This window comes from Homo sapiens, chromosome 4 (assembly GCF_000001405.40).
Source record: "Homo sapiens chromosome 4, GRCh38.p14 Primary Assembly".
Taxonomy (NCBI): Eukaryota; Metazoa; Chordata; class Mammalia; order Primates; family Hominidae; genus Homo; species Homo sapiens.
In genome coordinates, this window is record NC_000004.12 from 116467972 (window position 1) to 116480475 (window position 12504).

Genomic DNA, 12504 nt, shown 5'->3' on the forward strand with positions numbered 1-12504 from the left:
AGCCTTTTGAAGACTCCTTGCACTCGATCTTTCACCCTCCATGCATATCCCTTTGATACTTTCACAAACTTATCACCCACTACAGACACTTCTACTCACTTATTTCATTCCCTATCAAATACGAAGTTCTGGAAAGCACTTCAAACCCTTAGCAAATGTTAACCCTGATTTCACAACTTAAGATAATGATTCATCACCATTCTTAAAATGACAGCTTAAATCTTATCTGCTAATAGCTGCTTTTTTGGACCACCCAAAAAAAGTAGGCCAGTTCACCTATATACTAGTTTTATTTGTTGGTTTCAGCTTTACTTTGAATATTGTTTGCTTCTCTTCATAGTATTCAGCAGAATTTATTAGTATTTAATGTGTTTTGTTAATTATTTATATCAAGTCTTTACCACATCATAGGCTTCCTGAGGAAATAGCATCTGGAGTAGTTGCCATTTCACATCTAAAGTCTGGCACAGTTTCTGGAACATTGATTATAAGGAAATTTTGGTAATAGGAAAATGACTGAACTCTGGCAAACACTTTCTCTTTATTTCCATTTGATCTAATGGAAAGAGTCACCTGAATATTATTACTTCTCCTAAAATATATGCATTATAAATTTAACCCATCATGAATTGTTTTATTAATCACTCTGGAATTCTCATTTAAGTATTATGAACATTTTGCATTCCTCTAACCAAGCTACCTCATCACTACCCTCCACTTTTCCTAAACAAATGATGCTGCTGAAATGACAATGTAATCTGAGATAACCTGATATAAATGTATTTAACCTATTTTTTTCTGAATCAATATATTCTTTTTAATTTTTACATGATGTTTTACAAATATTATCTCAAAATTAATACTCTGTTTTCTTCTCTCACACTCTTAAAGTCACTTTCCTGAATAATCTTTCTTTTCTTTACACATATCTTAATCAGACTTTCAAACTCTAAGTGTAATAAACTTCATAGTCAAACCAAAACTGTATATGTACTTTAACTCCCATGGTTTCCCATTCATTAAGCAGAAATTGAATGTGGAAAGGGCCAAATATTCTATTTTTCTCCACCTACCTTCCTTTTTCAGGGTGATTTTCTTTGAGTTTGGAGAATGGGTTCTGGAAACTGTAAAAGGCAGAAAATAATATTTATTTTACTAGTGCTGTTCTGTCCTTCATTGGTTCCCCTAGCTAAGATTGACTGTCATTGATATTTATGAAGTTGGCATCCAAATGCTGACTCCATTGTGCAAAAAACAGAGAGTTTTAAGAGAACTTGTAGGATAGAAATTCACTTTAGTTTGGACTCTCTAAATTCTCTCCTCTTAACTCTTGCCTGCAATAGTACACCACAATTTTCCCCCTTCATCAGGTGACCTCTTTGCATAAAATATTTAAAAGAAGGGCTTATGCTTAGCAAGAGTCCACGTGGCCTACTTTACATACAAAAAACTCAAAGATTCTTATTTTGTCAATTCTCTTTTCCTTCAAAAAAAAAATAATGAGAGGAAAAGAAATCTGGCACCTCATTGGCAGAGATCACCTGCAAGAAAAAGATGCACAATACACTCTCTTTTTCAGTGACTTTCGGTCTCCCTAATTGAATTTTTCGGAGTCCTCTCACATAACCTGATATATAGAGAAATATCTTGGCTTTCCACAAAGGAAGTAGAGAAATAAAAACAAAACGAAATAAAGAAAAATCTTCCCACTAGATAGAGAGTAATGGCTTCAATAATTTCTGTGAATACATCTTGGATGAGGAAGTAGAGATATGCTGCTGCTATTAATAAGTTCTGGTAACTTATCTGTCTTTAAAAGTTTTCAGTTCTCTTTAGAAACATTCAGCTCTTCACACATCTTTGATTTCTCCCTTTATACAGGTCACAGATGCCAAAACAACAAGGCAAGTTGTAACATTTATAAACATGAAAGAAATTGATCCTTTATCAACAATTGATCTTACTTTCTGTACAGTTTTTTGAGTTTTGAGTATTTATTACCATTTTTAAACAATAGCTTTATTGATATAAAATATTTTATATTATGCAAATAACACAATTCGCCCATCTGAAATGCACATTCAGTGGGTTTTGGTGTATTCACAGATGTGTACAACCACAACACAATTAATTTTAAAATATTTTAATCACCTGAAAAGAAATCCTGTACAAATTAGTAGTCACTCCTTATTTCTCCTCAGCCCCAGAAAATCATTAATCCACTTTTTATCATTATAGATTTGCCTATTTTGGACATTGCACATATAAAAATCATAACATATGTAGTCCTTTGTGACTGGCTTCTTTCACTTAACATGTTTTAAGTATCTATTTTGCTGTAACATGCATCAACTTCATTTCTTTTCATTACTGAATAATATAACATTCCATGTACATGTATTTGATGTATTTCATATATTCATTCGTAAGTTCATGGACATTTGAAATGTTTCTGTATTTTCTACTATGAATAATGAAGCCATGAACATTAGCGTACATGTTATTGTCTATAAATATGTTTTTAGTTACCTTGGTTTTGTATATGGGTGTGAAATTCTGGGACTATATGATAATTCTCTTTAACTTTTGAAAAGCTAGAGACTGTTGTCAACGTGGCATTCCCAGGAATAGCATATGTAGGTCCCAAATTTGCTGCATCCTCAGCTACATTTGTTATTATCTGTCTTCCTTTTTATGCATTTAATCTTGTTATTGTATATATTTATATATGTCTTATTGATTACATCTACTCCAATGGGCAAGAAGTAGTGTTTCACTGTGGTTTAGATTTGCATGTTCTTGATGGCTACATTTGTTGAATATTTTTCCGTGTACTTATCAGTCAATTGCAAAAATATCCAGTGATATCCTTTGCCCATGTAAAAATTGTATTATTTGTCTTTTCATTATTTCACTGTCAGAGTTATATATGTATGTGTGTGTGTGTATTTGTATGTGTGTGTAAAGTATCTGTAGACATTCTCGATACATGCTCTTTATAAGATGTATGTTTTGCAAAGATTTCTTCCCACTCTCTGGGTTGTCTCATCACTTTCTTGAGGATATCCTTGTCATATGGTTTGGCTGTGCCCCCACCCAAACTCTCATCTTGAATTGTAATCTGAATTATAATCCCCACATGTTGAGGGAGGGACCTTGTGGGAGGTGATTAGATCATGGGGGCGGTTTCCTCAAGCTGTTCTGATAATGAGTGAGTTCTCATGAGATCAGGTGGTTTTGTAAGGGGCTTTCCCCACTTTCCTTTGCACTTCTCTCGCCTGTCACCTTGTGAAGAGGTGCCTTCCACCAAGATTGTGAGTTCCCTGAGGCCTCCCCAGCCATGCAGAACTGTGAGTCAATTAAACCTCTTTTCTATATAAATTACCCAGTCTCTGGTATTTCTTCATAGCAGCATGAGAACAGACTAATACAACTTGGAATCACAAGAACTTTTAACTTTAATGAAATCCTGTAGTTTTGTCACTGTTGTTTTTGTTATTATAGGTAAAAAGGTTTTGCCTAGCTTGAAGTAATAGAGATATGCTCTATATTTTTTCTTCTAAGAGTTTTCTAGTGTTAGCTGTTACATTTAGATCTATGTTAATTTTTCGTTGCCAGTTTTCCCAGCCTGATTTGCTGAAGATACTATTATTTTCCCCTTTGAATTGTTTTAGTACTTTCATTAAAAATCCACTGACCATAAATGTGCAGGTTTGTTTCCAGACTCTCAATTTTATTCCATTGATGAATATCCCTATCATTATGCTGGTAGCATATTGACTTGTTTAATGTAACTTCATAGTTACTTTTGAAATCTGAAATGTGAGTCCCCCAACTCTGAACTTTGTTCTTTTCAAGATTGTTTTGCCTATTCTGGGCTCCTTAAAATTACACATGGTTACAAGCATCTGTTTTTTTTTTTTTTTTTTCATTTCCGAAAATAAAAAAGCCAGCTGTCATTTTGATAGAGATTACATAGAACCTGTGGAAAAATTTGGGAAGTAATTTCATCTCAACAACAATAAGTCTTTGATCCAAGAACATACCTTAATTTTTATTTTGGGCTTATTTAATTTCTTTGAACAATGTTTTGTTGTTTTCAGAATGTAAGTTTTGTTTTGTGTTGTGTTGTTTGTGTTTTGAGATGGAGTCTCTCTCTGTCTGTGCAGTGGTGTGATCTCGGCTCACTGCAACCTCCGCCTCCTGGGTCCAAGCGATTCTCATGCCTCTGCCTCCCAAGTAGCTGGGGTTACAAGCGCCCACGACCATGCCTGGCTAATTTTTGTATTTTTATTAGAGATGGGGTTGCACCATATTGGTCAGGTTGATCTCGAACACCTGACCTCAAGTGATCCGCCCACCTTGGCCTTCTGAAGTGCTGGGATTACTGGTGTGAGCCACCTCACCTGGGCGGAATATAAGTTTTGAACTAATTTTGTTATTTCTTCTCAAATACTTTATCTTCCTAATGTTATTATAAATTACTTTTTCTCATTCTAGTTTTAGATGATTTATTGATAGTGTATAGAAACGAACTGACTTTTGTGTATTGATCATGTACCCTGCAACTTTGCTGAACTTTTTTCTTAGTTCAAATAGCTCCTTATGTGGGTTTCATAGGATTTTCTACACAAACAAGATCACGTCATCTGCAAATATAGTTTTATTTTCTTTATAAACTTTTATATATTTTTCTTGCCTGATTACCCTAAGTAAAACCTTCAGTAAAATGTTGAATAGAAGTGGTAAGAGGCAACATTATTTTCTTGTTCCCTAATTTAGGGAGAAAGCATTGAATCTTTCAAGATTAAGTATGATTTTAGCTGTGGGACTTTTGTAGATGTTCTTTATCAGATTGAGGCATTTTTCTCCAAATATCACCTTGTTGATAATTTTTTATCAAAAAGGAGTGTTGAATTGTGTCAAAGAGTTTTTGTACATTTATTTAGATTAATAAAACATAAGCTCTGTAAATCAATGAGAAAATAGCATTCCCACTACCAAAATGCCATTTACATGTTAAATTTGAAACCCTACACAGGTTTAATACAAGAAACAAGGCTCTTCTGGGGAGCAGTGTCTAACGGGATCATATTTCTCTAGTCAAAGAATGGTTCACCTCTGTATTGTAATGGCCAGTATTTCTTTTTCTTTTTCTTCTTCTTTTTCTTTTTGAGACAGTCTCGCTTGTTTCCTGGGCTGGATTGCGGTGGCGTGGTCTCTCAGCTCACTGGAACCTCTGCCTCCCAAGTTCAAGTGATTCTCCTGTTTCAGCCTCCTGAGTAGCTGTGATTACAGGTGCCTGCCACCACGTCCAGCTAATTTTTTGTATTTTTAGTAGAGACGGGGGTTTCACCATGTTGGCCACACTGGTCTCAAACTCCTGTCCTCGTGATCTGCCTGTCTCGGCCTCCGAAAGCGCTGGGATTACAGGCGTGAGCCACTGTACCCAGCCAATGGCCAGTATTTCTTGAATCATTAGTTCAAATGGTCAGGTGTAAGACTCATGTGAATATGTTTTGACAATTTATCATGTTGTATCTTCCCATACCTAAAACATATTTCTTGAATAAACAAAGTGACTTTATTGAACTACTGCTGTCTTCTGTAATTTTAATAATAAAGAAATGTTAAGAGAAATCAGCAATGAACACAGGAAAATTTGTTTAAAATTCTTATTCACAAAATTATTGGGTGTCTTTTGTCTCTCTCCCTCTGTCACACATTTGCTTACAAACACACAAAAAAAACATACACACACAAAGCAGACACTCACCACACATTATATTTACGTGCTTTGCTCTTGCTTATTGCATCATAAATGCTGATTCTTGTTTGGAAGAGAGTAAGATGAAATTTCTGTTATAGTGTTTCATTGGGCTACCCTGAGGGAAATTATTTTCCTGCTTCTTTTATAGAATATTCCTGGTGTCAGAAAACATTTTTCTCTCTACAGGGATTCACATTATTATTCAACATTTTCTATAATAAAAAAAAAAGCCTGCAATACGTTCCCCAGACACCTGTGTTGAATTGTGGGTCCTTCATTTTTAAGAGTAAAATCAGATCATTTGTCTCCCACCACTTGACAAATTCATAATTAGAAAGCTTCAATAGCTATATTTTATCATTAAATGACATGAGTTCAATATCTTCTGTAGAGTCTGGAAATCAGTCCAATTATTTCACAGTCCAACATAATAACTATTATCATTTTCTTTTGAAATGTTCAAGAATTACTATAATGGTTATGCCATGAAAGGTTCAGCATACTTAATTAGTTTAATAAATAAAAAAGTAATATCACAATGAAAATATCTCTGATAATTTATATCTTATTTTTAAAGTCAGAAGGATGAACACAAAAAGGTAATATATAGGTTTCTTCTGCACTCTTCCTAACCTTGATTTAACTATTATTCAAATAATTATAAATTACTACAGGTACATATATTTATATATGTACATAACATATTTTATGTCTATATCTATATATCTGTATGTGTGTTTGTGTAAAATGGGAGCAAGAAACTGCATTTAATGCATAAGCTACCAAATTTGAATATCATGCTGAGACGCAGTTGAAGTATTTATTTCCACTTTACGTTTAGATATAGAGTGCTATATTATTTGTTGCATGCTTTAGATAATGACTGAAATTTTATGTGATTTTCTTTAATAGTTTCTCCCATTCTAGCATAGTCAGTAGAAGAAAATTCAGTGACAGAGGTTTTTGGTTTTGTTTTGTTTTTTAATCTAAATCTTTTTTTTTTTTTTTTTCTGGAGAAAGCTGGAAATTAGGAGGCTAAAAGAGTACCTTTTCCCTTAAAAGGTATTAAAAGGCCAGTTGCAGTGGCTCAAGCCTGTAATCCCAGAACTTTGGGAGGCCAAGGCAGGCGGATCACCTGAGGTCGGGAGTTCATGACCAGCCTGACCAACATGGAGAAACTCTGTCTCTACTAAAAACACAAAATTAGCTGGATGTGGTGGCGCATGCCTGTAATTCCAGCTACTTGGGAGGCTGAGGCAGGAGAATCGCTTGAACCCGGGAGGCAGAGGTTGCAATTAGCCAAGATCGTGCCAATGCACTCCAGCCTGGGTAACAAGAATGAAACTCCACCTCAAAAAAAAAAAAAAGTATTAAAAATACCTTTTTCATTTTTCTCCTGACATAGTAGAAATCATCTATGATTTTGACAGAGTTGCAAAACAAGTGTAAAGCATAACTTTTTCTAGATTTAAAAGAACAAAAACTGTATATAATATTAAAAAGACAGTAAGTTTTAATGTAAGTTTTTACTATGACTTTTTTTATCACATCTTTGAATTTAGGTAAAATTAGATATACTTAAGAAATATTATTAAACTATGCCTTGAAAAGATAGTTATGTTTTTAATTGCTTGAGAAAATATGTAGAAGATTAAGATAGAAAGTTTAAAAGAACTGTTTGAGAATTTTCATAAGAATTTTAAAGTTCACTCTTTGCACCATATTAGTGATGCGTATTGTTTTTTATTATCTTGGAGACAGGAAAAATAAACTGGCTTATAATTGGACTTTACAAAGAAGAACAGTCGTTGTCAGTACTGCAAGAGATGGCAACTATCTGGAACCCATTCATTAATTATGGCACAGAAAGTAGATGTCTATATGTGTTCTATATTCTTTTCATATCCACATTTTTGACTTTGAAGAGAAATTAGCATTGAAATATACATATGTAGAGATGTTCATATGTACATAAACATAACATAGATACACATAATATACATATGTAAATCTACATAATGTATAGTATATGTTCCATATGTATATTTATTTTTATTTTCTTTCCAAAATAGGAAAAAATAAGAATAACTGACATAGACTTTTGATTCAGTTATACTGTCTGAAATGTAACCAGAGCAGAGAATATTAAAAATAGGTGTCAGAAGCACTTAGGAAACAGTTACTGGATTTATATATGATATCTTAATATTTGTCTCTCACTTTATGCTAGTGATACAATTATTAGTAGCAGATTTGGAAAAAAAATTGATTATTATGTATTATTTATGATACATGATTATTTATGATACATGATGTTAATTTACCAGTGTAAATTAAAAAGAGAATAACCATAACAATATACTAGTTATGAACAAAGTGCTAGTAAAAACACATATCAATTATTTTTGTTATACTTCTTATTGGACCATGCAAGCAATTAAGAAATGGTTAAAAGTTGGAAATAAAGCTGTACACCCATAGCCTTTGAATCTTCAACTAAGTTGACAATAACAAACAATGGGGAAAAGACTTCCTATTCAATAAATTATGCTGGGATAGCTGGCTAACCATATGCAGAAGAATGAAACTGGATTCCTTTCTTTCACCATATACAAAAATTAACTCAAAATAGATTAAAGATTTAAATATAAGACCTTAAACTATAAGAATTCTATTAGTGAGCAATGAGTCTCTGGAAAAAACAATTCTGGAAGGAAACCTTGGAAACAAATTTTTTACGTGGGCCTTGGGAAAGAATTTGTGACTAAGTCTTAAAAAGCAATTGTAACCCAAACTAAAATTGATAATTAATTAATTAATTACTTAATTAAACTAAAGGGCTTCTGCATAGTGAAAAAAACATCAACAGAATAAACAGACAACCTACAGAATAGGAGTAATTATTTGTAAACTATGCATCCAACAAAGGTCTAATATCAAGAATATATCAGGAACTTAAATCAACAAGCAAAAACAACGAACCCCATTAAAAAATGAGCCAAGGACATGAACAGACACTTCTCAAAAGAAGACATACAGGATAGACGGCAGAAAGTGGAAGGGCAAGCAAACCTACCAGAGAGGAGTGGGTATGAGACTTTTTTTTTTTGAGTCAGGGTCTCACTCTTTTACCCAGGCTGGATTGTAGTGGTCTAATCATGACACACTGCAGTGCGACCTCCTGGGCTCAAGCATTTCTCCCACCTCAGCCTCCTTAGTAGGTGGGACCACAGGCACAAGCCACACAGCTGACTAGTTTTTAAATTTTTTGTAAAGCTGGGGACTCACTCTGTCGGTCAGGCTGGTTTAAAACACCTGGGCTCAAGTGATCCTCCCACCTCAGCTTTCCAAAGTGCTGGGATTACAGGTGTGAGCCACAGCACCTCAGCCTGACAGGCTGTGCTCGGGTTGTGCTACCAGCCTGGATCCCACACCTGCCAAGGGCAAGCCAGGCGTGGAGCAACAAGGGGTGTGTAGGCAAGTGAGAGTGGGCTCCAGGCACTGAGCACAGCCAGGCAAGCTGTCTGCTACACAGAAGGGTTAGCAGCTCCAGGTACCGACACAGATGCCAGTTCCATTTGAGGCTGTGGCTGGACTAGATGTACAGGACACAGCTTCTGCTGTACAGGACACACCCGTGTCTGAATGAGAGGGATGTGGTTGTGCCTGGAAGCTTGGAGATGCAAGGAACTGCAGAGCGCCAAAGGGGTGTCATGGCCCAAGCTCTGGGAATCCCTAGGTCTGGGGTCCCTGAAGGGCCACAGCACTTCTCTCCTTCTCTCTACCCACAATGTGGCAGGGAGTATGGGGTGGTTCAGCCCTGTCTGTGTTACAGCTCTTTTAGTCCAGCCATTCAGCGGGTCCCAAGTTCTTGTCCCATGTGCAGGAAGAATGAGATATGTGGAAAACTGAAGGGTAAGCAAGGTGGAGAGGAGCTTCAGTGAGCAGCAGAACAGCTCTCAGGAGACCCAAAGTAAGTGGCTCCTTTATGCAGGCAGGTTGTCCCAGTGAGTGTCCAGTTCTCAGTGGAGAGGGGACCCACAGTGGATAGCTCCTATCAGCAGGCAGGTCATCCTGACGTCTGCAGTCTCCAGTTCAGAGTAGACCTGGAGTGCATAGCTGCATAGCTCCTATATGCAGGCAGGTTGGCAGGTTGGCAGGTTTTCCCAACATCTGTCTGAGTCTGGCTCAGTGTGTGGGGGTAGGGGGGCTAATTGGCCCGTGGGTGGGGTGGCCCAAAGTGCATGGTGATTGGTCCATGGGTGGCCATGGGCAGGTCCAAAAAAAGGCACGGTAAGTTCTCTTTCCGGGCTTCGGACTCCACACATAACTGACAGCCTGGCTCCCGGGATTCAGGCTGTCCCTGGCTCGAAGTTGGGCTTCACCGGGACCATTCCTCTCTACCCAGGAACCTGTCTCCCGCCATCATCAACATATCGTACACAGCACTCAGGCTGTTTGTGCCAAGAAGTGCCTCATGGACCACGCTGAACTGCCCTAAGCCTCTCCTTGGCCTCCCTCTTGTGCTCATCGGCACTCAAAGTCTGGAGGGGCCAAGGCAGCGGGGGACTGACGTGTCAGCAATGCCTGGAGCACGCGCACACCGAGAAGGGTCATGAGAGCACCCAAGCTTGGCCTCAACTTTGCTACAAAATCAGAGTGGGCATCAGGAGTGGGGAGAGGTCAGGCAGTGGGAACAGGCACTTCCAAGCCTGCAGGGGCAGGGCTCTTCCCAGCCGCAAGAGCGCAGGGATGCCTGGGTCTACTGCCAGGGCCTGGCGGCTGCAGCTATATCCTGGAGGCCGGGGCTCCAGCCCCAGCAACTTGGAAGGTGGTGGGGCTCCCACCTGTTCCTGTCTTCTGCCCGACCCGTGGAGCACACAGCCCTGGTGGCGACTCCCCTGCGGCAGTTGGCACATTTTAGAGGCTGCTCCAGATGAGCTACCGCTCCCATCAATACCATTACAATGGCAGTTAAATTTCAACATGAGTTTTGGAAAGGACGTTCAAACCATAGCGCCAAATGATGAAACAGAAATCATTGAGTGATGAAGGTAATGAGGGGGAAGAAGTGTTTTGGTTTTCTAAATAACTACTTAAACTCTTGTGGATCACTAATTCATGATCCAATTGTATACGGAATAAGGAAAGTTGAACAATTAATTCATAAACAAAAATGAATGGAATAAAGTAGAATTAAACTGGATACTCTGAGGAATCTTCAGTAAAATATTTTATTTTTCTATTATGTAAATGTCCCGGTTTCCTGGAGTTATTCTAATAGTTTGATAAAGTTAAACACACAAACACACACACACACGCATGCACACACACACACCCCAAGTATTTTTCAGTGGCCCCAAAAATAGTTCACACAAATTTAAACCCTTCTGCCACAGATATCTTCAATAGAGTTAAGTATTAATAAATAAAATTAATATACCTCTGTGGTCACAAGATTCAGTATTAGAATGCATTGTAAAGCCATTTTAATAAAGCTTCTTCTATGGCATTTTGTTTCTAGATGCCGCTTTCTGAAAGTCTTCTAAAATATGTACAAGTTTGGTTAGCATCCACTTGGACACCCCTTTTTCATTGTTTCACAAATAACAAAGCCATTGCATTTTCAACTATATAAAGAAGTACATTCTGAAAGTAATGACTAGGATTGATGGTTGATGGGTGAGCTTGGGATACCTGGGAGATCCTTGGTCAATATTTATAAACTTTTTCATAAACACAAATTGGGGAGAATTGAGAAACTGGAGGTGGAAGATATTGCCCCAGATTTCTCAACAGAAAGTTATCCAATGGTGGATTTACTAGTAAAAAAATGTGAGTAATCCCTTTACTGGAAGCAAAAGAATTCTTTGTTAAATTTTGTGTGTATTACTGAATATGTAACGGCATCGTGGTAGGCTAGTATTTGTTAAACCTAAAAAACATGAATCTTAAATGTTTAAGTTTTCATATATATATGTATGTAATTAATGGTCAAAGAGCATGACTCAGAGGACAATTGAACACTTTACCACATAAGAATTCATTTGAGGCTATTTTCACTGTCTTCAACAAAACTGACAAGTCATTATTACCAATAGAATGTCAGAAATAAAAATAGAATGTTTACTGAGATCTTATCTAAAATGTGTGTATCATTCTATAATTCTAATGTTTGCAGAGTTCTGCATTGTGATTATGGCTCTATGTAAAATTTTTCAAGCACTTTTCACTGCAGGGCCATGTAGCTCTTCCATTACTCCAGGAAAATTGCATGTGCATTACTAGTCTTTCAACCCAAAATATGAGAATAACAGCTGGACTATTTTAGTTGGTATTCTATATGTGTAACAAATAGCCTTTATTAAAGAATATATTTCCTACAGCAGAAACAACAATTTAACATAGTTGTAGATTATTTCTCTTTAAGTGATGACAAAACTAAGAAGTCCAACTCTAGGCCGAAATCCTGTGTGTGTTACATTTGTCCTGATGATAGGCAATTACAAAGACTGTACCTCTCAGGCCTCACAGAGGAAACTACCTTCCCCACACCAAGTGTGGTGCACAAAGAGTGCACTGCAGCCTCTGAAGGTAGTTGCAGCCAAGACTCTGGCCTCCTTGCTGGCCATGCTTTACTCACTGCTGCATTTCTAGACCAGTTGCCTCCACTGGAGTCTTCTTTATAAGGGGCTCTCCCTGAGGACTTCCTTAGCCACCTCTACTGAGACCTA

At 37.1% G+C, this 12504-nt stretch overlaps 1 annotated feature.

Annotated features, from left to right (window-relative positions):
• Window positions 3301-3360: an enhancer, noted in NCBI's record as "active region_21844". NCBI's record gives its function as "activates an Ori minimal core promoter by ATAC-STARR-seq in GM12878 lymphoblastoid cells {active_cell/tissue: GM12878}" and the evidence as "EXISTENCE:reporter gene assay evidence [ECO:0000049][PMID:35858748]".